This window comes from Homo sapiens, chromosome 7 (genome assembly GCF_000001405.40).
Source record: "Homo sapiens chromosome 7, GRCh38.p14 Primary Assembly".
In the NCBI taxonomy this organism is placed as follows: Eukaryota; Metazoa; Chordata; class Mammalia; order Primates; family Hominidae; genus Homo; species Homo sapiens.
In genome coordinates this window covers 99,847,814-99,874,662 of record NC_000007.14, presented here as the reverse complement: position 1 = coordinate 99,874,662, position 26,849 = coordinate 99,847,814, and the positions used below count along the sequence as shown (strand labels likewise).

At 40.2% G+C, this 26,849-nt stretch overlaps 1 protein-coding gene and 1 pseudogene across 10 annotated transcripts in view, besides 1 other annotated feature; both read right to left on the bottom strand.

Annotated features, from left to right (window-relative positions):
* Positions 2,405 to 2,495, bottom strand: CYP3A52P (cytochrome P450 family 3 subfamily A member 52, pseudogene; annotated as a pseudogene).
* Positions 8,570 to 26,849, bottom strand: part of CYP3A43 (cytochrome P450 family 3 subfamily A member 43) — a 38,081-nt gene continuing 19,801 nt past the window's right edge. For 5 of the 10 annotated variants that reach the window (NM_022820.5, XM_047420745.1, XM_047420746.1 and 2 more), the window contains 8 exons: positions 26,409 to 26,497; positions 24,969 to 25,117; positions 18,945 to 19,072; positions 17,764 to 17,830; positions 14,673 to 14,833; positions 12,824 to 13,050; positions 10,964 to 11,129; positions 8,570 to 8,757 (listed from right to left, as the gene is read on the bottom strand). In NM_022820.5, coding sequence (NP_073731.1) covers positions 8,662 to 8,757; positions 10,964 to 11,129; positions 12,824 to 13,050; positions 14,673 to 14,833; positions 17,764 to 17,830; positions 18,945 to 19,072; positions 24,969 to 25,117; positions 26,409 to 26,497 — 1,083 coding nt within the window. In that variant the 3' untranslated portion in view covers positions 8,570 to 8,661. Of the gene's footprint in view, positions 8,758 to 10,963; positions 11,130 to 12,823; positions 13,051 to 14,672; positions 14,834 to 17,763; positions 17,831 to 18,944; positions 19,073 to 24,563; positions 24,685 to 24,968; positions 25,118 to 26,408; positions 26,498 to 26,849 lie in introns of all 10 variants that reach the window. The other 5 variants (NR_103869.2, NM_057095.3, NR_103868.2 and 2 more) reach the window with 5 other exon arrangements.
* Positions 14,191 to 14,391: a silencer, noted in NCBI's record as "peak6657 fragment used in MPRA reporter construct". NCBI's record gives its function as "represses an SCP1 promoter by STARR-seq MPRAs in K562 erythroleukemia cells {active_cell/tissue: K562}" and the evidence as "EXISTENCE:reporter gene assay evidence [ECO:0000049][PMID:32103011]".

Genomic DNA, 26,849 nt, shown 5'->3' with positions numbered 1-26,849 from the left:
GAAGAGGCCAGTAGTAGAATTCATCCAATGGAGACAAGATTATTTGGGTTTAGCAATATGGGGGAGGACTAACACAGGTCATCATAACCATCTGATCTGCAAGGATCTCTTATAATCTTGCTCTTGAAATTATTCTTCTCTCTTCTGCGTTATAAATTTTCCCAGTCTACTTGATCAGTACCTCAGCCTACAGACATACCTTTATGATTGTCATCTTAAAAAGAAACTTCTCCTCAATCCCGGAAAGTCTAAACCAAGCTCATTCAACCCATGTACTGCAGACCATATGTGGCCTGGGAAGGCTTTGAATGTGGCCCAACACAAATTCATAAACTTTCTTAAAACATTTTCATCATCACTGGCCATCAGAGAAATGCAAATCAAAACCACATTGAGATACCATCTCACACCAGTTAGAATGGCGATCATTAAAAAGTCAGGAAACCACAGGTGCTGGAGAGGATGTGGAGAAATAGGAATACTTTTATGCTGTTGGTGGGACTGTAAACTAGTTCAACCATTGTGGAAGTCAGTGTGGCGATTCCTCAGGGATCTAGAACTAGAAATACCATTTGACCCAGCCATCCCATTACTGGGTATATACCCAAAGGATTATAAATCATGCTGCTGTAAAGACACGTGCACACGTATGTTTATTGCAGCACTATTCACAATAGCAAAGACTTGGAACCAACCCAAATGTCCAACAATGATAGACTGGATTAAGAAAATGTGGCCCATATACACAGAATACAATGCAGCCATAAAAAATGATGAGTTCATGTCCTTTGTAGGGACTTGGATGAAGCTGGAAACCATCATTCTCAGCAAACTATTGTAAGGACAGAAAACCAAACACCGCATGTTCTCACTCATAGGTGGGAATTGAACAGTGAGAACACCTGGACACAGGAAGGGGAACATCACACACCAGGGCCTGTTGTGGGGTGGGGGGAGAGGGGAGGAATAGCTTTAGGAGATATACCTAATGTAAATGACGAGTTAATGGGTGCAGCACACCAACATGGCACATGTATACATATGTAACAAACCTGCACGTTGTGCACATGTACCCTAGAACTTAAAGTATAAAAAAAATTATGAGATTTTAACTTTTATTTATTTATTTTTTAGCTCATCAGCTGTCATTAGTTTTAGTGTATTTTATGTGTGGCCCAAGACAATTCTTCTTCCAGTGCGGCCTGGGGAAGCCAAAAGATTGGACGTCCACCCATGGTCTAAACAGTCTTACAGAAGAATTCCTTGAAACAGTTTTCTTTTTTTTTTTTGAGATGGAGTCTTGCTCTGTTGCCCAGGCTGGAGTGCAGTGATGCGATCTCCACTCACTGCAAGCTACGCCTCCTGGGTTCATGCTATTCTCCTGCCTCAGCCTCCCGATTAGCTGGGACTACAGGCACCCGCCACCATGCCTGGCTAATTTTTTGTATTTTTAGTACAGACAGGGTTTCACCATGTTAGCCAGGATGGTCTCGATCTCCTGACCTCGTGATCCGCCCGCCTCGGCCTCCCAAAGTGCTGGGATTACAGGCGTGAGCCTCCGTGCCCGGCCGAAACAGTTTTCTTTACTTGTTATTTCCACTTTTTCTGCTTCCATTTTCTCCTGAGCTCACTTCAGTTGGCTTTTGTCATCATCAATCTATGGAAACCATTAGTATGATTGTCACAAATGGCCTCCTTGTGGCCACATTTAATGGCCAATTTTCACTTGCTCTTAGCCAAAAGGCCAAGAAGCGATCAATGACCAATTTTCAATGTACCCAACAGCCTTTGACAAAGTTGATTATGCCTTCCTTTTTTGAAACACTTTCTTCACTGAACGCTACACTCACTTTAACTCCTACTTCATTGAGTCTTCATTTTCCATTTCCTTTGCATTTAAATTCTTTCATGTTACTTCCTTGTTCTCATGCTCTTCTACAGCAGCGATTCTCAAACATGAGTACACATTAGAATCATCTGAAGGTCATGTTAAAGCAGTTGGCTGGGCCCTAGTTCCAGGGTTTCTGATTCAGAGTTTCTGATTCAAAAACTCTGAATTTACATTTTTAATAAATCCCAAGTAGTGCTGATGCTGTTGATGTAGGTACTACATCTAGAAAATGTATTTTTCTTCCAGAATATCCATGGTGACAATTTAGCAGATGAATAAATTTAGGCTTCTGTGAACAGAGGAGAAAATAATCCCCCTGACTCCCGATGCCACACTGCTTCCCTGTCTTCTCATGGGAGCCGTCCCCTCTTGGGTGGCCCATTGTAGTCACAACGCTACAGCCCTGCTTTTGTCTGGTCACTGGACTAACCCAAGAGTGGGGATATCAGCTCCATGGCAGGCAGCTGGAGGGGCTCATTACAGCTCAGAACTCCATGGCTGTGCTCCTACTTACTCTCAAAGTGAGGGGCTTGCCCTTCTCTACTTTCTGTCTCAGGTTTCTCAAGAACACATCTCCGTACTAGAGTATGATCAGGAGCATCTCAACACTCAAAGAATATGCAAGGGGAACTCTGGAATAAAAAAATGAATTCAGGCCGGGTGCGGTGTGAGAATCAGAAGGGTCACACGCCGATGGGGCAGATTAGTGGCTCATGCCTGTAATCCCAGCACTCTGGGAGGCTGAGGTGGGTGGATCACTTGAGGCCAGGAGTTTGAGACCAGCCTGGCTAACATGGTGAAATCCGTCTCTGCTAAAAATACAAAAATTAGCCAGGTGTGGTGGTGCATGCCTGTAGTCCCAGCTACTCGGGAAGCTGAGGCAGGAGAATTGCTGAAACCCGGGAGGCAGAGGTTGCAATGAGCCAAGATCGCACCACTGCACTCCAGCCTGGGCAAAAGAGTAAGACTCAAAAAACAAAAACAAAAACAAAAAAAATAGGTGAATTTAGCACAATTGTAAGATACAAGATCAACACATAAAAAGTCAAACACATTTCTACATGACAGCAATGAATATGTGAAAACACATTATAAATGCTATATGATTTATAACCCCTCCAATTAAAGACTTTAGGTATAAACCTAACAAAACATCTCACTATCCTGAAACTACAAAATGTACATGAGAGGAAGAAAGGAAGGAAAGGAAATGGAGAGGTATCCTGTGTTCATAAGGTCAAGATTGTACATAGTAAAGATATAGATTTATTTCATATTGATCTGTAAGTTTATTTCAATTTGTATCAAAATTTCAGTAAGTTTATTTTTAGATATCGATGTTTATTCTGAATTGTATAGAAAGTCAAAGGACCAACAATAGATAAAATATTTCTGAAAAAAATAAATGAAGTGGGAGAAATCACTCTCAATAATGTTACGACTTACTGTGCAGCTGCTATAGTCAAGACGCTGTGATCACAATAGAGAATGAGAAGTAGATGCACACAAATAGGCCCAGCTGATTTTTTTTTTTCTTTTTGAGACGGAGTCTTGCTCTGTCGCCCACGCTGGAGTGCAATGCGCGATCTTGGCTCACTGCAACTTTCGCCTCCCTGGTTCAAGCATTTCTCCTGCCTCAGCCTCCTGAGTAGCTGGGATTACAGGTGCACACCACCATGCCTGGCTAATTTTCGTATTTTTCAGTAGAGACGGGATTTCACCATGTTGGTCATGCTGGTCTCCAACTCCTGACCTCGTGATCCGCTTGCCTCAGCCTCCCAGAATGCTGGGATTATAGGCGTGAGCCACCGTGCCTGGCCTGATTTTTTTTTTTTTTTAAGATAGAGTCTTGCTCTGTCGCCCAGGTTGGAGTGCAGTGGCTTGAGCTTGGCTTACTGCAACCTCCACCTTCTGGGTTCAAGCGATTCTTCTGCCTCAGCCTCCTGAGTAGCTGGGACTATAGGCATGCGCCACCACGCCCAGCTAATTTTGTATTTTTAGTAGAGATGGGGCTTCACCATGTTGGCCAGGCTGGTCTCGAACTCCTGATGTCAAGTGATCCATCTGCCTCAACCTCCCATAGTGCTAGGATTACAAGTGTGAGCCACCACGCCCGGCCCAACTGATTTTTGATAGTGGTGCAAAAGCAATTCAGTGGAGGAAGGATAGCCTTTCCAGAAATGGTGTTGGAACAATGAACAGCCATAAGCCCCAAGAAACGAACCTTGATCTAAACCTGATACCTTATACAAAAATTAATGCAGAATGAATCATAGACTTAAATGTAAAGGATAAAACTATGTAACTTTTAGAAAAACAACAAAAACATCGGGGGTGGGGTGCGATACACAAAGAATTTTCAGACTCAATACCAAGAACACAATTCATAACAGGAAAAATTGATAAATTGGTCCCCTTAAAATAAAGTTTTGCTTGATAAAAGCAATGAAAAAATCTTGTGAAAAAGAAAAGTTAAGCTACACATTATGACTATAAAAGAATAGCAGGTGAGAATCAGAAGGGTCACACGCCGATGGGGCAGTTCTGTATCTTGATTCTTCTGGGCATTATGCAAATCTACACATGCGATGAATTTGCATAAAGCTACACACACACACACACACACATACACACAAATGAGGGCTCATAAAACTGGTGAAATCTGACTAAAGCCCTGTGGATTATATCAATGTCAATTTCTTGTTACTAGAGTAATAGGAATATACTATATACACAGTTATGGAAGACATTAACATTGGGGGAAACAGAATGAAGAGTACATGACACATCTCTGTACATTTTTGGGGCAACTTTTGTGAATATATATTTCCAAATAAAAATTAAATAACTATTTAAATTAAAAAAATGAATGTCTACCCTCCAGTTTGGGAAGACAGAATAACATTCTTTCACTAGCACTGTTTTGATCATTGCTTTCATTTGCTCAATAAAAGCAATAAAATACTTGTTAAGAGGAAAAGACAAGCAACACATTACAACTCTAAAAGAATAGCAGGTGAGGCCAGGCACGGCGGCTCATGTCTGTAATCCCAGCAATTTGGGAGGCTGAGGTGTGAGGATCACCTGAGATCAGGAGTTCGAGACTAGCCTGACCAACATGGTGAAACCCCGTCTCTACTAAAAATACAAAAATTAGCCAGGTGTGGTGGTGCATGCCTATAGTCTCAGCTACTCAGGGCGGTGGGGGTGGCAGTGAGGGTGAGGCACGAGAATTCCTTGAACCCTGGGAGACAGAGGTTGCAATGAGCTGAGATTGCACTACTGCATTCTAGGCTTGGTGATGGAGTGAGACCCTGTCTCCAAAAAAACCACCTAAACCAAAACAAAACAGCATGTGAAAAAAAAGCTGGCCAAAGCCCACCAAAACCAAAATGGTGATGGAAGATGACCTCTGGTCATCCTCACTGATCATGATATGCTAATTATAATGCATCAGCATGCTAAAAGACACTCCCGCCAGTGCCATGAGAGTTTACAATTGACATGGCCATGTCAGAAAGTTTCCCTATATGGTCTAGGAAGGGAAGGAACCCTCAGTTCTGGGGATTGCCCACCCCTTTCATGGAAAACTCACAAATAATTCCCCTTGTTTAGCATATAATCAAGAAATAACATAAAAATAGCCAAGGAGGAGCCTATGCTGCTGTTCTGCTTGTGGAGTAGCCATTTTTTATTCCTTTACTTCTTAATAAACTTGCTTTCACTTTACTCTATGGACTTGCCCTGAATTCTTTCTCATGAGTGATCCAAGAACCCTCTTTTGGGGTCTGGATTGGGACCCCTTTCCGGTAACATTATTGCTAATACTACATGCTCTATTAGGGTAATTTCCTCTTGTTGATGAAAAGAGTCAAACTCTGTAAAATATTTGAAGAGATTTATTCTGAGCCAAATATTAGTGAGCATGTCCTGTGACACAGCCCTCAGGAGGTCTTGAGAACATACGCCCAAGGTAGTGGGGTGCATCTTGGTTTTATACATTTTAGAGAGGCATGAGACATCAATCAAATACATTTCAGAAATACATTAGTTTGGTTCAGAAAGGTGGGACAACTCAAAGTGGGATGCTGGGGGTGTGTGTGCTTCCAGGCTATAGGTAAATTTAAATATTTTCTGACTGACAGTTGGTTGAGTTTGTCTAAAGACCTGGGATCAATAGAAAGGAAATGTTCAGGTTAAGATTAAAAAAAAAAACAGGTTGTGGAGACCAGGGTTCTTTTGAGGTTTTACAGTGACTGCCCTTAGAGACAATAGATGACAAATATTTCCCATTCAGACCTTTAAAAGGTGTTAGACTCTTACTTCATCTCTTCAGGATTGGGAGGGCCTGGAAGAAAAAGATCTAGCTACATGATAAAAAGAGATTCTTTACAGATGCAAATTTTCCCCCCACAAAGGACAGCTTTGCAGGACCATTTCAAGATATGGCAAAGAAACATGTTTTGGGGTAAAATATTTTGAGTTTCTTCTTTGTCACGTAATGTTATGCCAGAGTCAGATTGGAAAGTAAGTCACGATATATAGGGTTAAATAAAACCCATCTGATGAGAATTTATGGTTTGTAGGGCATGACTCCCTAGACCCTGTGGATAGGAATTTGGGCAAGATGAAAAAACTCAGGGCTTAGTCCTCACTCTGGAAAAGTGGAGACCCATATACACAAAATAAGAAAAACTGGCCACATGGTTACAACCTGTCTCGACTAATTCCTTATGGTCATTTGGTTTATTTAATTACTTGCCTTTAAGCCTAGGTTCATGGCTTATAAGCATTATGCAAACTAGAGTTATCATATTACTATTAATTTCACTTTTTTTCTTTTTAAACCTTGTATCTGTTACTAGTCACATTTCTTTACATAAGCACAACTCCCAAGCAAATAGTGCTGGTCTAGCTTCTTGAGATGATTTTAAAAATGTCTACAACACAGATAAAATTAGACAACAATTGACTTCAGGTAGACTTAGCCAGTTTATTGCAGCACTATTCACAATAGCAAAGATTTGGAATCAGCCCAAATGCCCGTCGATGATAGACTGAATAAAGAAAATGTGGTACATATACACAATGGAATACTATGCAGCCATAAAAAGGAATGAGATCATGTCCTTTGCAGGGACATGGATGAAGCTGGAAGCCATCCTCCTCAGCAAACTAACACAGGAACAGAAAACCAAACACCACAAGTTCTCACTCATTAGTGGGAGCTGAACAATGAGAACACATGGACACAGGGAACAACACACACTGGGGCCTGTTGGGAGTGGGTGGGGGAGGCAGAGCATCAGGACCAATAGCTAATGCATGTGGGGCTTAATACCTAGGTGGTAGGTTGATAGGTGCAGCAAACCATGGCACCCCTTTACCTATGTAACAAACCTGCATGTTCTGCACATGTATCCTGAAACCTAAAATAAAATAAAAGAGAAACAAACAAAACAAAATGTCACTGCTCATTGATAATACATTTAGTCACTCAAGAGCTCCAATGAAGATGACAAAAAGATTATTGTTGCTTTAATGCCTACTAACAAAACATCCATTCTGCAGCTGTGGATAAAAGAGTAATTTTAACTTTCAAGTCTTATTATTTAAGAAATACATTTCATAAGGCTACAGAGGAATTAGATAGTAATTCCTCTGATGGATCTGGGCAAAGTCAATTGAAAGCCTTCTGGAAAGGATTTACTACTCTAGATGCCATTGAGAGCATTTATGAGCCATGGGAGGAGGTCAAAATATCAACATTATTTTGAAAATTTGGGAATATATAGCCCCATTTCTTTGGGATGAAGCAGAAAAGGAAAAGGAAGAACTCTGTGCAGCCTCTGATACCAGCTGAAACTGATGAATGCCTTTAGCTTTGCTGCCGAATCAGTTGACTAATAAACCACATTTTATTCGGTGTTCATTATGTTAAAACATTTGGGAGTTAAAGGTGAAATAGAACAAGTATAGGAAAACATGTTCCCTGCCTTCCAGCACTATCAGGTGAGATGAGATATAACATTAAATCAAAACTAATAATGTAAAAATAAGTTCCTAAGTTGAATGTTACCAAAATATGTGCTTCAAAAGAGGCCCAATGAAACTACGAATATGTTTTCTAAACAATGGGCAAAGTCACAGTGGTTTAACTCACACCTAGATTAATAATCAAGTTAGAGTCCTGTAAAAGACCCCACAGAACCAGCAATTATAATGACCAAAAATATTTATTTGTTGATCCTTATTGATCTAATTCTGTAGATTCATCCTTAATATGCAGGAAGACATCAGATAACAGTTTTGTAAAGAGGTGCTTGTTGACTTTCTCAATATAATACTTATTATAGAATATCACAAATGGAACATGTAATATAAATGTCACTACGAGAATCACAAGTATAATTTTCCTTTTCATTAAAAATTGTTGGTAAAATTGTTGAGAAATGTTTATTCTCTGATCACAGCTCAGGAGGACTTGAGGGTACTAACTATAGGTGGCGGGGAGATAGTCTTATGAGAACTAGAGAAGATGACTGTACTTATTTGGCATTGATTTGTCACCTGCTTTGTAGTATGCAACGTGTAATACTCTACCCAGACAATGAGAGCTCAATGAATGTAGAGAATTTCTAATTATTCACCCAGTATACTAGGTTAATTAAGCTCATCTTCATTTCTGAGTTTTATTCACAAAACAATTTGAAGTGTCTAGTGTTCTGGGATACAGCTTTCTTGAACAAAGTGGAAGTCCTTAGGGAAAGTCAGGGTCCACTTGTAATCCCATCTCTTAAGTGCACTTTTAGAACAATAGGTTTTTCTGGTTGAAGAATTGGTAGATTGTCTAATTTCAGTGGGATCTGCAAAAGTTAAACAAGAATATTCAGAAACAATGAAGCAAATGAAGAAAAGATAGAAGCAAAATAAAAAAGATGACATCAAGGGTAATGCTTTGCAATGACTAAAAAAAAACTACTTTCAGCACCATACATGTTGGTTTATTTGTACTTGTTCAGTTAGCTCTGTGAAGATTGGATAGTGAAAGCATTTACCATTCATCATTTAACAAAATATTTATTGAGTATCTATTCTGTGCCAGGCTTGAGATTGTTCATGCTGGCTTCTGTTCCTTTTTATTTAAATTTTAAGCAAAGAGATATTTTAAAAAATCAAATCCAGATTATTAGGCATTATGTTAAACTATTTTGGAAAAGCCATATAAAGTTAATTTTGTATATGATGAAACTTGCAAGGTAATCCTCAGTAGGTGTTATATATTTCAATTATATGGACAGTCTTCAACTTATTAAGCATTCACTAACTCCATCCAACTGAACCTATCCAGTGTAATGATGGGAAGAGATCTTCAAGAAGCATTATGCTTTTGTTTTTTACTTCTTCTCTTGATTTCCAAAGGAAATGCAAATGGGAAGCTTCTCAAGGCCTATAGTGTTTTGACTAATACTTTGAGCCCTCATTCTCCCAAGTCACTTCAGTGTCAGGGGAGCAGCCAGCAGAGAAATGTTCTGATGTCAGTTAAGTGAAGGGCAGGCAAATTGTCATGGAAATTGAAAAGTGCCAGCTAGTAGATGCTTGGGAAATTGCCAGGGAGTATCACCCCATCCCATGTGTGCCAGAGACCTGCTTTTATTCAGAGTTGAGCCCCTGTCTGTACACACTTAGAGGATGGATGTACAGCTTCCCTAAAGCCACAAATAAGATTGAAACCCTATCTATTCTTCCTTCCCATGCACAAAGCCTACTTTAGAATAGGAGTTGCATAGTAAATGCACAAGTCCTAGAAATAAGGCTTATAGGGCCTTGCTTGATATAAATAAATGACAAGTGTTCATTAAGTTCTTCAGAGAAAGATTCCATATCTTTCTATTAATGTGACTCATTATTTTAAAATTTCAAATGGCATGAATGTTTTTCCTGCAGACAGACATACACACTCAAATATACAAATGTCACATATTAAATTTAAAAATTAAACAGCTTAAAACTTGTATCCAAGAACTCCAAATCAACTGAAACTCACTCCTTAAACATGTGTGGAATGCCTGCAATGGATAATGTCCTCTGCAAGACACTATTGGACTTTTATGAAAGAATTAAAACAAAACAACATAAATGGGGCAGAGAGGAGAAATTCTTAGAATAGAGAAAAGACTTGTAGAATAAAACTGAGTGGTTTAATGAAAAGTATAAGATTAGGTGATGATAACAGCCTGCAATAAACAGTAACAAAGCAGAAGAATAACTGGCCCTGTACTCGATGGGGAAGGTTTCTTAGAGTGGCTTGGGGAATTGATGTAGGACTTGTGGGATAGGAACATAATGAGAAGGAAAAGAAGAACATTCATAGAGCTATTATTGGGTTGAAAAGATGCACAGCTTGTATGAAGCAGCGAAGCAGTGCTCCTGGAAGATAAGGTCAAATGGTCAGGATGGCCTTGGACTGTAAGTATCTTTTCTATCTGGCAGAAATGCCTTAAATTAGTGATTCCCAACATTGGCTTCACATGAGGACCAATGGGAGAGCTTTTAAAGCCACAACTCTGGGCAAATTAGTTTAGAATTTGTGAGATGATCCAGGCATCATGAATTTTTGAAGCTCCCCAGTGATTCCAATGTACAGCTAGTGGTTGAGAAACACTGTCATGAGAAAGCTTCTGCAAGTTCTAGTGAGTTCTAGTGGAGGAGAGCACCATTCGAAAGTCCTGACAAAGTAATCATTGCACTTCATGATTGTGCAAAAGACTTCCTCATCTTTACAGTTGACATGAAACTGAATTTAAAATTTGCTCAAGTTCACAGAGACTGAACATAATTATACCATGCTAATCTATATTGACATTAGATGATCTTTATAGTTCTGTCTTTACAAAGCCACAGATTTTGAACTCCAGAAGTGATTCATCTTTAAGCATTATGGATAGCTCCAATTAGATTCTTTGTCCTACAGAGCAAATTATTGAAAAATGAACAATAATTTTTAAAAAATGTAGACTTCTCAGTTTAAAAAACTCCCAATAAACATTATTTATAAGAAAGTTTACTGACCTGAGTCTCTTTACAAGGTTTGAAGGAGAAGTTCTGCAGTGCTCTAATGACAGCAAGTTTTATGTTTGTGAGAGCAAACCTCATGCCAATGCAGTTTCGGGGTCCAGCTCCAAAAGGTATGTATCTGTAAAGATCTATGCTGTCCTTGTTCTTCTTACTGAACCTACTTTCACAGTAGTACATAAAAACTAGTTAATGAAACATAAAAACTATTAAAACTACACGTTATGCAGGGTGTGGTGGCTTTTGGGAGGCGAGGACCTCCTTGGCCTCCCAAAGTGTTGGGATTACAGGTGTTAGCCACCACACCTGGCCGGCTATACAATTTTTGAAGGTTAAACCCATGTTTATTCAAATTTGATTCCTCAATATTTGATTATATTGTGAAAAAATTTTGATGGAGGAAAGTGATAATGCCCTTGTGGTTATGTGTTTTTAAAAGACTACTTATATTTTAGAGAAAATTCTGAAATATTTACAGGTTATTTCTTCAAGATAACATTGTAGTCACAGAGAGGATTGTGGTGGTGTGTGGACAGGGAAGCTGACATGCAGCATTGACTACTGAGACAGGTGATGAACACAGGGGGATGCATTAATACTGTTCTATAGCCTGGTGTCTATAGAATATAGTTATGTGTATGTCAAACATTCTTCACAACAGACTTTTTTTAGTATATGGATTTCTCACTGCCTGGCCCAGTTCCTGACACACGGTAACCACTTACTATCTGTTTGGTGACTGAATGATGCAAAGAGAAGTACAATGAGTGGTCTCTGATTTTGTGTTGGTGCAGCCACAGGAGGTGGAAGTGCCAAGATGGAGGAAACACAGAAGTCCTCTACTCCAGAAAACAGAGAAATTGGTCAATTCTGACTTGCTCTTCCAACAAGTATTATGTACAGAGTCTGTGCCAGCAGTAGAGACAGCATGCCTAACAAGACAAGGTCCCTGCCATTGGGAAGTTTATAGTTAGGGGCCAATAAAAGTCTAGATCCCAGGCCTCACCAGCCAGTGCCCTACAAAGTTCATTCCAAATTTTCCTTTCCAAAATGGGAAAATATCAACTATTTCCAGAGTGCAAATTGTGCCCAAAGCTTGACCTTGGCTCTGAATTCCCAGAATATCATGCCCAACACTTCCAAGGAAGAACTTCTGAGAAGTCTAGAAAGCAGGTGACTTTGCTTTGGAAGAGTCATCAACAACTGAGAGTACAAGGGAGCCGGCACAGGACTGCAGACACAAACAGGACCAGGAGAACCTCTGCTTCCCTCTGTCCTCAATGAAGTGGCTTAAACCATCAGGGATGAGGATGTCTCAGGATCTCAGCCTGCACTTTCACAGTTACATTACGGAAAACAGCAAGCAATGTTGAAAGAAAAAGGAATGTGGAAACATGTCCTAAACGTGGTGCTAAATTCAGAGAGCTAAAGGGCACAGCAAAGAAAAACTGAAATGAATAACAAGCTTATATACTCAAAATAACATTATGGTGAAATGAATTATAGCTTATGCATATAGAAATATGTAGTAACGTAAGATAGTAGATAGGTAATGGTTTACTTTGAAATGAAGTAAGCAGCAGTTCAAACTCAAATAAAATGTGATAGTATACTAGTTTTTAAAAATGTCTATGCATAGAAAAATGCCTACAAGACAGGCATTACATAGTTAATGAGGGTTGTTATAAGGTGTTTCTTAATCTATGGTTTGTAAAGTTTAACAGTTATCATTTTGTAATAAAAAACTTCCAAAATGAAAAGGCACATATTCAAATGATTGCCATGTGCATCGAGAGAGGCAGAATATACTTGAATCAGGCTGGTTGAGGGAAGGCTCCTTTCCCAGGGGCCTTGTACCTTTCAGGGCAGAACTTCTCAGGCTCTGTCCAGTACTTTGGGTCATGGTGAAGAGCATAGATTGGAACCATCACTGCTAACCCTTTGGGAATGAACACTCCATTGATTTCAATATCTTTCTTGCAGACTCTCGTAACTCTACTAACAACTGGGAATAATCTGAGCGTTTCATTCACCACCATGTCAAGGTACTCCATCTGTACCAGGGCATCGTAGGTGACAGGTGCCTGGGAAGAAAGAAACAGATTTGGATAAATTGAGATTGGGAATTAACTTTCAACTTAGTCCATGCAGTACTATTGAAGTGTTAGGAGCTCCAGAGAATAATTCATTCTGGTAAAAGATTGTTGCATTTATAAATTATTTTAATAATTCTCCATACCCAGTGATGTGCTCGATGGCCCATTGAGATGTGTGGAGGAGTTATGAATTTGGCACAATCACTTACACAGAGACTGAAATCCTTGACATTACCATTTCGTGTTTTTTCTTTCTTGGGAGAACAAACATGACTAATAGACGATGGCCATTTGAATCACCTAAAATATGCCAAAGCCAGTGTCACCTTTCCAAAGAGAGGCTATGCATCTGTACCAAGGAAAAAGAAAATGTAAAAAGCAAATCCTCTATTTCATACAAGCATTTAAAATGGAAAAGTCCTGTTTAGGCCAGGCATGGTGGCTCATGCCTATAATCCCAACACTTTGGGAGGCCAAGGTGGGTGGATCACTTGAGGTCAGGAGTTTGAGACCAGCCTGGCCAACATGGTGAAACCCTGTGTCTACTAAAACTATAAAAATTAGCCGGGCATAGTAGCGCACGCCTGTAATCCCAGCTACTCAGGTGGCTGAGGCACGAGAATCACTTGAACCCTGGAGGCGGAGGTAGCAGTGAGCCGAGATCACCCCACTGCAGTCCAGCCTGGGCGACGAAGCAAGACTCCATGCAAAAAAAAAATGTGGAGAGTAACACTATGTTATATAAAAACCCTATAAATAGTTTGGGGATAAACTAGTTCTTTTGTAACCCAAATATGACAAAAGAACTTTATAACTGGACAGGGCACACAATTTCAGTGCTACTGAGAGTTGTAAACAGGATAGGAACCCTCCGGGCAGCCCCATCCTGTCTTTCTCGAACAATTTCCCACTTGTTCCTTCAGGCCTGGACTATGAACTTAGATGAACATTCCTTTGTGTTCACCTCACTGCCAAACCAGGGCCAGCCCCAAGGCCAGATCTCGTTACACCATAAAGAATTCCAATTTGGGCAGAATTCTGGAAACAGTGTGGGTAATACGTGGCTAGCATTTGGTGTTATATTTGGAAGGTAATATTGTAGAGGTTAAATGTTTGGCCCAGGCGTCAGGCACCCTGGGTCCTAGCTTGGCTTCTTCACCACTAGCTACTTGACTGGAGCAGAGAGAGGTGTGAGGCAGAGCTGAGTCAGCCTGCCCAGCGCACCCAGGGCCAGGTTCCATCAGACCACTGCCAGACCACAGCGAGTCCAGCCAATATCAGCAGAGCTCACTATCCAGACTTGTGAGCAATAAATGATTGTTTTTAGTTGTCATTGAGATTTCTGGATATTTTTTACTTGGTGTTATGTTGCTAACAGACAACGGATGCAGCAGGACCAGCACTGTTTCACAAAGATCTTACACTTACGCAAGAAGCATCCACTACCTACGATTCTCCCTTTGTTTTTACTCTTTACAGCCTTTCTGCATAGTGTAAATGAAAGAACTGATGCTTACGCTTTTTGCAAAAATTGTCCTGGCAAGTGGTGAGGAGGCATTCTTGCTGAGGCTTCACCTTCTCCCTCCTTCTCCAGGGGATCATCCCCTTACCTTATTGGGTAAAACTGCGTCAATCTCCTCCTGCAGTTTCTGCTGGACATCAGGGTGAGTGGCCAGTTCATACATAATGAAGGGGAGAGTGGTGCTAGTTGTGTCATAGGCAGCAAAAATGATGATAATTGACTGGGCCACAAGCTCCAGATCAGACAGAGCTGAAAGGAGAGGAAATATATTTTAGGAAAAGTGGTTAGTGTAGAGCATCACAGTTTAGATGAAGCAAAATTCCAGTGAAGCTCCCAAATCCCTAAGAGCAAAAATAGAAAAGCAATTCAGAGTCACACTGCGGGTGGCTTCACTCTGATGTGTATCCTACAGAGCCAGAATAAGGCAAAGTCACTTTAATCCAGTTTTTTTTCCAGGGTCTACACGATTGTGGGCCATTCACTCCTCATCATACCATCCCCACCAGCTGCACAGCTGGGTAACTTTCAAAGAGAGCATTTCTGTCTAACATACTCAGTGTTATAGGGATGTCCCTTGGATAATCATAGAAGTTCTTTATCTATAAGTAAACGTGGAGTAACATTCTCCCCAGGGAAGATTTAAATTACTCTAGCTACAATATAGCTTGACAAACAATGAGACAGTTTGCAATACTAAGGCTTGATTTTAGGGAAATATAAAGGAACTTTTCTCTAAGCATGTTTGCGGGAACCCAAGGGAAGAATATTGGGCTCTTGCCACTCAAAATGTGGTCCATGGACCAGCAGCACCAGCAGCATCTGGGAGCTTATCAGAAATGCAGAATCTCAAACCCTACCCTCAAACTGCAGAATCAAAATCTGAACTTTCATGAGATGTGGTAATTTGTGAGCCCAGCATGGCTTGAGAAGCATGGATTACATCTTTGAGTGACATCAAGTAATAGAGTTCCTAGGGCACTAGTCTTCAAAATGGATGACCTCTGGATATACGAAAGCTACAGAGACAAAAATCTAGAAGTGAGGTGATTGACTGTAGTCCAATGAGTGGTTTTAATAAAACAGGCTGGGCACAGTGGTGCAAGCGTGTAATCCCAGCACTTTGGGAGGCTGACACAGGAGGATCATTGAGGTCAGGATTTTGAGACCAGCCTGGCCAACATGGTGAAACCCCATCTCTACTAAAATTACAAAAAAACCCACAACTGGGTGTGGTGGTGGGCACCTGTAGTCCCAGCTACTCGGGAGGCTGAGGCAGGAGAATTGCTTGAACCTGGGAGGCAGAGGTTGCAGTGAGCCAAGATCAGACCACTTCACTCCAGCCTGGGTGACAGAGTGAGACTCCATCTCAAATAATAATAATAATAATAATAATAATAATAATAATAATAATAATAATACAGCAGGAAGAATGCATGTATAGATGGGCATTGGCCAACATGAAATATAAAAACAATAGGGTCTAGTGAGTGGAATTCATAGTGCCTATTCCATCCTGGCCCGAATAGCATCTTCCTTAGTACATGCCCATTCTCTCTGCTCCACTTCATGCTCACCGAACAGCATTTATGACTACAGGTTTGCCTCCCTCTTGATATTTCTCCCAAGAAAAGCTTAGCACAGTCAGCCATTGGTCTGTTTGATCAGGACTGGATTAAGAACTTTAGAGACCTAGGGTACTAAAATAAATATGGTGCCCACTCCAACCATGTATTTCATAACTGAAAACAATACAAGATGAGTGTGAGAAAGGTCTACAGAGTTGTGATTTACTGGTGATAATTTTCATGATGATGTTGTGGGTAAATTCAACTTTCCAATTATTTTATTCAGTTGGCATGAACCCCAGGACATGGAATTGAAATGAAATCATAATCTCAAAGTGTAGATCTGCTACCCAGTAGGGTAGGCACTAGCCACAGGTGGCTACTTAAATTTAATTAATTAAAATTAGATATACTTAAAAATTATTCTTCATTGGCAGCAGCTACATGTTCAGTACTCAATAGCCATGTATCTAGTGATGTCTGTATTGAGCAACAAAACGATAGACTGTTTCCCTTTTCACAAAAAGTTGCACTGGGACAGATGGACAGATGATAGATGACACATAGATAGACAAGTAGATGAAGACATAGATATATTTACAATGGTGTGTTTGAGTTAAACATTTCCTGCTCTTTATTTTTACTTATTTTATTTATTTAGTATTATTTTTGAGATGGAGTCTCACTCTGTTGCCCAGGCTGGAGTGCAGTAGTGTGATCTTGGCTCACTGCAACCTCCGCCTCCCTGGTTCAAGTGATTCTCCCACCTCAGCCTCCCAAATAGCTGGGATTACAGGTGTGCGCCACCACACCCGGCTAGTTTTTGTATTTTTAGTAGAGACAGGGTTTCGCCATGTTGGCCAGGCTGGTCTCGAACTCCTGACCCTAGGTGATCCACCTGCCTCGGCCTCCCAAAGTGCTGAGATTACAGACGTGAGCCACCATGCCCAGCCTCCACTTCCTGCTCTTTAGAATTAATTGTTAATATTCACAATTATGTCATATGGTTGTCAAACTTTGATGGCTTGAAATCGATCATGGTCATTATTTTGCGACCATCATAGTAATGATGGTTTCAGTCAAAACCATCCATGGGTGGTAAAACTAGTAGGTGAAAAATTGAAGAGGAAAAGGACATTACACAGTCTTAAAGGTTTTCTCACAGTTACTTTTCCATTATATAGGGAAAAATAAAACCCGTCAGTAGATTAACCTTGTGAACACACTTTCACCAAGTGTTTCCAGTTAAAATCACCCTTATTTGGACAGTGTGTCTCCTGATTGGATGTTAGATGTACGTTTCCAAGTTCTGAGTAAGTGGATCTGGAGGAGGCTGAGAACTGGCATTTTATCTGATGTGGGTGATCCACAGATCACTGACCGACCTCCGGGAGTGCCACACTTGTTCAGGGTTGCCCTTCAAGCCTGGAATGTGGCTATGCCTGTGTGCTTCTAGAAAGTGCCTCCAGCTATCATTTATAACATCCAAATGTGTGCCTTTCTGCAATGTGGAAGAAATTCTCATTTTCCTGGAAAACTTTCTGCACATTTTCAGAACAGGGCCTTCTCTCTGAGTGTCCCCATCAGTAGCCCCCAGATGCAGTTCTTGGTTACCTTTATGGGACTTTGTTTCTTTGGAATTCTGGGAGTCGATCATCTGTTGAAAGAAATCTACTCGATGCTGGAAGCAAAAAGAGAAATTTTAATGACAGAAAGTCACTTGTGAAGTCAGAAGTGAATCAGGAGTCCAGTCCTAAGCACCCCTCCTGAGAATATGCTCTCTTTAAGTTCAGAAGTGTAATGGGTGTTGCCTGAGTCACCAATGTTTAGAATAAAATCATGCATCTAAAACCTTGGAGAGCAGGATGTTTCCTTGAGAGAAATCCTTTTGTCATGTCTATCTGCTTTTTAGTCTTTGCTCTCCCTGATCCTCAGCTTCTCTGGCCTTTGGACACAACTTCCTGGCCAAAGAGTTGTCAGCTCATTCTCTAGTCATAATTTCTTGAACAGGAAGAAGTCCTGAATTTCAATCCTATTTGTTCTGCTGCTTTTATTCTTAACCAATGGACAAATAGATTAATCTCTGGATAATCCCAGGGGAGCTGATTTGAATGCATCTTCAAATACTCCCCACTCCTAGAACTCTATACAACGTTCAGTGTCACCTAGGGGACCCAGTCCTGCATTCCTGACTTTGAGGCATCATCATCGGGCTGGTCTCCAGGGCTCATAAAGGCAAAGTTGGATCAGTCAGCTTGCACCCACAATGCCCAGAGAAGACCCCTGCCCAGTCCAGGCTATGACAGGACTGAAATTTAACATACACTTACTTCTGCAGGTAGCCTGGTAGGGACTCCTGCTGAAGAAGGTGTAAAAATAACAGGCTTGGACTTGAAATGATTCCTTACTAATATAAGAACTAGGGAAATTGTAATACCCATAAAATAATTTTATCAGTCATTTTTATCCAGTCAGATTTATTGGCAACTTTATACAGTCAAATTTATTGACAATTTACTGAAAGGAAGAGAAGCGGTAAAGCTTCTATCTCTACATTATTTATGCCATAATATACTAAAGTCATGCCTATTATTAAATTCCAAATGCTGTTTCACTCATTCTCTTTCTTCCCCAAGCTTCACCTTCTTTATTCCCAGCAAAATGTAAAAACCCTCTTGGTCTAAAGTTCTCTAGCTGCCTTTAAAAAACACAGATAAGTGCACAAATCGTATGTAAACAGCCCAAAAATATAATAAAAAAGTGAACATTCTCATGTCACCACCACCAGATTTTACCTTTTGTTTATCTTTGAGGCGACTTTCTTTCATCCTTTCAATGGAATTTTTTAAAAAATGGGTAACATCTTTTGGAAACAAACCGATATTTAGGGCTTCAAAAACTGGGGTAAGAAATGGAAAGAGTGCTATAGGAAAATTAAATAGAAAAAGAAAAAATAAATCATAGTGAAAAATGTGAAATTTACCTACAACAATTACAATTTTCTCTACCTATAGACTTCAGGGTTCTCAACCAGGATCCATTTCCTGTATGACCTTTGCCCCTCTTCCTGTATGACCTTTGCCCCTCTTCCATGCCAATGGCTGAGCAAGAGCAGATCCACACATAGGGGCCTCCACTATAGCAGTGAGATCAGTGGTCCCTTCTGCATCTTCAGAGTGACCAAAGGAACAGAATTAAATTCCCTGACTTCTTAGCCTTTATCTACTGGACTAGAGTCTCTTTGGATAGCCTGCTGCTTTAATGAATCATGTTTTTCCATGAAATAGTAGTCAGGATAGAAACAATACGGCAAATGTCCTTCAACTACCATGGAATGAAACTAGAAATCAATAAAAGCAAGAGAATTGCACTTAGGGAGGCTGAGGCAGGCAGATTGCTTGAGGTCAGGAGTTTGAGACCAGCCTGACCAACATGGCGGAACCCCATCTCTACTGATACAAAAATTAGCCGGGCATGGTGGCATGTGCCTGTAGTCCCAGCTACTTGGGACCCAGTCATGAGAATCGCTTGAACCAGGGAGGCGCAAGTTGCAGTGAGCTGAGATTGTGCCACTGTACTCCAGCCTGAGTGACAGAATGAAAATGTCTCTCGAAAGAAAAAAAAAAAGAGAGAGAGAGAAAAGAGAATTGGAAAACTCACAAATATGTGGAAGTTAAACAATACACTTTTAAGTAACCAATGAGCTGAAGTAGAAAGCAAAAGGACAATTAGAAATTGTTTTGAGATGAAGAAAAATGAAGACATGATATGCCAAAGCGTATGGGATGTAGCCAAAGCAATGTTCAGAGGGAAATTTATAGTTGTGAATGTCAGATAATCTCAAATCAATAACCTAAATGTATACCATAACACACTGAAAAATGAAGAGCAAAGTAAAACTAAAGCCAGCAGAAAGGGGGAAAATAATAAAAACTAAAGTGTAACCTAATGAAATACAGATTTAAAAGCAATAAAGAAAACCAAAAATTGGTTCCTTGAAAATATCATCAGCCGGGCGCGGTGGCTCACGCCTGTAATCCTAGCACTTTGGGAGGCTGAGGCGGGTGGATCACCTGAGGTGAGGAGTTAGACCAGCCTGACCAACATGGCAAAACCCCGTCCCTACTAAAAATGCAAAAGTTAGCTGGGCATGGTGGTGGACACTTGTAATCCCAGCTACTCAGGAGGGTGAGAAAGGAGAATTGCTTAAACCCGGGAGGCAGAGGTTTCAGTGAGCCTAGATCACGCAACTTTTTTGAGACTCTGTCTCAAAAAAAAAAAAAAATTATCAAAACTCAAAACTCATGGACATAGAGAGTAGAAGGATGGTGACCAGACTCTGGGAAGGGTAGTGGGGGCGGGGGAGGTAAGGATAATAAAAGGTTACAAAAAATAGTTAGAAAGAATGAATAAGACCTATGGTTTGATAGCACAACAGAGTGACTACAGTCAATAATAACTGTACATTTTAAAATCATTTAGAGTGCAATTGGAATGTCTGCAATTCAATGGATAAATGCTTGAGGGGATGGATTCCCCATTCTCCATAATGCTCTTATTTCACATTTCATGCCTGTATCAAAACCATCTCGTGTACCCCATAAATGCATACACCAACTGTGTATCCACAAAAGTTAAAAATAAAAAATAAAGCTCAAGGCTGGGCGCGGTGGCTCACGCCTATAATCCCAGCACTTTGGGAGGCCGAGGCAGGTGGATCACCTGAGGTCAGGAATTCGAGACCAGCTTGACCAACAGTAAAAACCTTGTCTTTACTAAAAATACAAAAATTAGCCGGGCATAGTATTGCATGCCTGTAGTCCCAACTACTCTGGAGGCTGAGGCAGGAGAATAGCTTGACCCCAGGAGGTGGAGGTTGCAGTGAGCCAACATCGTGCCATTGCACTCCAGCCTGAGCGGCAAGAGCAAAAGTCCATCTCAAAAAAAAAGCTCAAATTTTACCACAAAAGAAAATATCATCAAAATTGGCAAACTTTTAGCTACATTGATGAAGAAATAAGAGATGACTCAGTTTACTAGTCTCAGAAATAAAAGAAGGGAAATAATTACTATTGACATTTAAGAAAAATAAAAATTAGCATAAGGATATTCTCTTAACAATTTTATTATTAGAACAATTGTATAAATTAGATAACAGGTAAAATGGATAAATTCTTTGAAAGACACAAACTACAGAAACTGAGTTGGAAAGAAACAGACAATCTGAATAGATCTATAACATATAAAGGCATTGAATCAGTAATCAAAACTACCCACAAAGAAAAGGCCAGGCCAGATAGTTCCAATAATGAATTCTACCTAATATTTAAAGGAGAATTAATATCCATTCTACAAACACTTTCAAAAACTAGGAAATGAGGGAACATTTCCAAATTCATTCTATAAGGCCAGTATTACCATCATATTAAAACTGGAAAAATATATCACAGGATAAAGAAACTACAGACTAACATATCTTGTAAATATAAATGCACAAATCCTTAACAAAATACTAGCAAACTGGATCAATCTAGCAACATATAAAAATAATTATATACCATAACCAAGAGGGGTTTACCCCAGGGAAACAAGGTTGTGTAATATACCATGTCAATTAAATGAAAACACACAATCGTCTCAGTATGAGTAAAAGCATTTGACAAAAATCCAAAAGACTTTTGTGATAAAAACACTCAGCAACTAAAAATAGAAGAGAATTCTTCCACCTGATACAGGGCATCTATGAAACCCATAGCTAACCATACTTAGTACCTTTCCCCCTAAGATCATGAATGAGACAAGGATACCTCTCTCAGCACTTCTATTTACCTATTAAAACTAACAAATGTGTTCAGAAATATTTGAAGATAGAAGGTCAATATACAGAAATAAACTGTATTTCTGTACGTTACAATATACAATCCAAAAGTGGAATTAAAAAATTGTATTTACCATAACATCAAAATATTAGTGATACACTTATCAGGAATAACATTAACAAAAGTGCAAAACCCAGACTCTGAAAAATACAAAACACTGTTGAAATAAATGAAAGAGTATCTAAATAAAAGGAATCACCACCCCGTGTTCACAGATTAGAAAACTTAAAAAGGTCAAAATGGCAATACTTCTCAAATGGATCTGCAGATTTAATGTATTATCAGAATCCTAGCTAGATTCTTTGTAGAAATTGACAAGTTGATTTTAAAATTGATTTGGAATTGTAAGGGATGCAGAGTAGCCAGAACAATGTTGAAAAAGAATCAAGTTGCAGGACTCATACTTCCCAATTTCAAAACTTACCACAAAGCTCTAATAATCAGGACAATGTGATACTGGCATAAAGATAGAAGTATAGTTCAACAGAATAGAATTTACAGTCCAGAATACATCCACATGTCTCTGGTCCACTGAATTTTGAGGAAGGTGTCATGATCATTGAATGGGGACAAAATCGTCTTTTCAACAAATGGTCCTAGGACAACTGGATAGCCAAGTGTAAGAATAAAGCTGGGCTCTTACGTCACACGGCATATAAAATGAAAATCAAGATGCATCGAAGACCTAAACAGAAGAGCTAAAACTATACAACCCTTAAAAGAAAACCAAGAGGGCAAATCTTCATGAGCTCACAATTGGCAATAGATTCTTAGATTTGATACCTACAGGATAAGCAATAAAAGAAAAATACGCAAATCGTGCATCATCAAAATTAAAGTTCAAAGAAGTTCAAAGAAGATACAGTTCAAAGAAGATAAAGTTCAAAGAACAATATCAAGAAAGTAAAAAGACATGTATAGAATGGGAGAACAATTTTGCAAATCATATGCCTGAGAAGGAAGTTGTATGTAGAATATGTAAAGAACTCTTACCAATTAACAAAAAGAATTCAGCTGTATATGGGCAAAAGACTTGAACAGACATTTATCTAAAGAAGATATAAAGATGGCCAATGTTGCTCAATTTTATTAGCCATTAGAGAAGAGTAAATCAAAATCACGATGAGACCAGTTCACATGTAGTAAGGTGTCTATAAACAAATGAGAAAACCAAGTGTTGGCAAGAATGTAGAGAAATTAGAACCATTATATGCTCCTGGTAAAATGGTGCAGCTGTTGTGGGAAACAGTTTAGAAACTCCTTAAGAAGTGAAACATGGAATTACTACTATAAAACGCCTCCATTCCACTGCTGAATATATACCTAAAAGAAGAAAAATCAAGTATTCAAACATAAACTTGTAAACAACTATTCACAGCAGCACTATTCACAATAGTTGAAAGGTAGAAACAACACAAATGTCCATCAACTATGAATGGATAAGCAAAATGCAGCATATCTTTTTTTTTTTTAGACGGGGTCTTGCTCTGTCACCAGGCTGGAGTGCAGTGGTGCGATCTCAGCTCACTGTAACCTCCACCTCTGGGTTCCAGTGATTCTCCTGCCTCAGGTTCCTGATAGCTGGGATTACAGACACCCGCCACCATGCCTGACTAATTTTTGTATTTTTAGTAGAGACAGGGTTTCGCCAAGTTGGCAAGGATGGTCTTGATCTCTTGACCTTGTGATCTGCCCACCTCGGCCTCCCAAAGTGCTGGGATTACAGGCATGAGCCACTACACCTAGCGCAAAATGCAGCATATCTATACAATGAAATATTATTTGGTCATAAAAAGAAATGAAGTACTGATCCATGTTTCAACATGAATTAACTTTGAAAATGTAATGCTAAATGAAAGAAGCCAGTCACAAAAGACCACATATTATATGATTCAATTTATATGATGTGTGCTAGATTAGGCAAATCTAGAGACAGAAAGTAGATTAGTGGTTGCTTAAAGCTGAGGGGGGTTTTGGGGCTGTGTGCAGTTGCTCACTCCTGTAATCCCAGAACTTTGGGAGGCCAAAGCAGAAAGATGGCTTGAGGCCAGGAGTTCAAGACCAGCCTGGGCAACATAAAAAAGGTGAGGAAGGCAGGGCATGGTGGCTCACTTTGGGAGGCTGAGGCAGGCAGATCACAAGGTCAAGAGATCGAGATCATCCTGGCCAACATGGAGAAACCCCGTCTCTACTAAAAATACAAAAATTAGTTGGGTGTGGTGGCGCATGCCTGTAGTCTCAGCTACTTGGGAGGCTGAGGCAGGAAAATCACTTGAACCTGGAAGGCGGAGGTTGCAGTGAGCCGAGATTGAGCCACTGCACTCCAGCCTGGCAACAGAGTTAGACTCTGTTTAAAAAAAGAAAGAAAGAAAGAAAAAAAGGCCAGGTGCGGTGGCTCACACCTGTAATCCCAGCACTTTGGGAGGCTGAGGAGGGCGGATCATGAGGTTAGGGGTTCGAGACCAGCCTGACCAACATGGCAAAACCCCGTCTCTACTAAAAATACAAAAATTAGCCAGGCGTGGTGGTGTGTACCTGTAATCCCAGCTCCTCAGGAGGCTGAGGCAGGAGAATCACTCGAACCCAGGAGGTGGAGGTTTCAGTGAGCCCAGATCGCACCATGCACTCCGGCCTAGGCAACACAGCGAGACTCTGTCTAAAAAAAAAAAAAAAAAAAAATGGTGAGGAAGATTGGAAGGGGATGATGGTTAAATGGTATGTGGTTTCTGAGTTTACAAAAAATGTTCAGAAGTTTACAAAAATGTCCAGAAGTTAACAATGATGTTGGTTGTGCATATCTTTAAATGTACCAAAAACCATTGAATTATACATTTTAAGTAGGTGAATTATATGGTATGTGAATTTTGTTTTCAATAAAACTGTTTTTAAAAATTAGATGAGAGAGAGAGAGAGAGAGAAATAACATAAAAGTCCACATACATATTAAGAGTAAAAAGGGATCCAAAAAATCCAATTTTAAAAGCTTCTTCATATTTTTCAGAAAGGGATCTTGTGGATTGTTGAGAGAATCCAAGTTCACTCCAAATAATGTGCCAGTGATTACATCCATGGTGTAGGCCCCAAAGAAACTGAGTAGAGTAAAACATGGAAAATTAAAACCAGCACCTCTTTACCTTCCTTCTGCTATACACACAGCAAGAAGTGCTATGCCAGAGCAAGACAGGTGAAAACCCACACACAATCAGAACAATCTGCTGCATCATCTCCCATCATACTCATGAGGCATTTATTGGGTATCAGTGATGCAGCTGGCCCTGTGCTGGGAGTGATGGAGACACTAAGGTGAGTTAGACCCACCTCTGAGCTCAAGGACCTCAGTCATAGGGAGACACAGACCCAATAATCAGACAATTACAGTAGTTTGTGTTGAGTGTGGATGGTAAAAGGTGTGTCAACACTGTGCTTCTGCAGGACAAGAATAAAATAATTAACTCTTTCTCGGCCAATCAATAAATTTGACATTGCCAGACCCCACAGTCTACGCCCAGAGCTGATGTCTCTTCAGCACTTTATAGAACAGCCACACCCTGTTCAGACTTGCTGTGAACGTCATGTCTCCGCTGCACTCCCTGATAAGCCTCCTGAAACACCTGCTTTTCCCCAACTCCTGGGATCTGAGGTTGCTCTGAGGGCAGATTATTTTTGTAAAAGTAAGAACTAACAGTGATATTGATTAAACAAATAGATCACTCCAAAGTTGATCGGGGCATCCCATAGCTGAGTGACCACATGTCCCCAGTCTGCCCAGGACAGGCTCAGCTTACACATGTTGTTCCAGCATAATTCAAATTACATTCCAGTTCAGACAACAAACAATAGCATTGCCCTACCTATAGCCTTTACAGAGTCTTTTAAAATTTAAGATTGGAGAAAAGAAATTAGAAGTGGTGGGAAGGTTTAATATTTCATATTTTGGTGGTATCCTCAGCAAAATAATGAAGGGATTGAAGTTATTCCAACTTCCTCATTGTAACTTTCCTGCCCCAGTCACTGCCAGCCAACAGCTATCAAACACCTTCCCCTCCCACCACTCCATAACGTCTATGCTCAAAACTTTAGTACAATCAGGTTTTTATTTTTTCTTTCTACACAATGTATTATTCTTTTGGAATATCCAAGGGGACAATGTAACAGATAAGTTATTCCTGGCTCCTGTGCACAGGGGAGAAGATCCTTTTCTCTCAGCTTCCTAGCTTTCTTTTGTGAGCAACACCATCTTGGGTGGCCTATTGGAGTTGCAACACCACAGCCCTGCTTTTGTCCGATCACTGGAGTAACCCAACAGTGGGAATATCAGCTCCACTGCAGGCAGCTGGAGGGGCTCATGACAGCTCAGAACCTCAAGACTGTGCTACTTACTCTTTCAAGTTGATGGACTTGCTGTTCTCTGCTTCCTGCCTCAGGCTTCTCACCAACATATCTCCACATTGGGAAATGATGGGGACCATCTAAAACACAACACCACCCATAGTTAACTACGCAGACTCGAGTCTCAGAAGGACATGGCTTTGCCCAGCATGGAACAGTAAATGATATTTTGTAATGACTCACCATGTCCTCTAGGACATAAATAGAAAAGACCGCCCCCTGCCCCTTTTTTTTGAGACAGAGTTTCGCTCTTGTTGCCCAGGCTGGAGTGCAACGGCGCAATCTTGGCTCATTGCAACCTCCGCCTCTAGATTCAAACAATTCTTCTGCCTTAGCCTTCTGAGCAGCTAGGATTATAGGCATCCGCCACCATGCCCAGCTAATTTTTGTATTTTTAGTAGAGTTGGGGTTTCACCATGTTGGCCAGGCTGG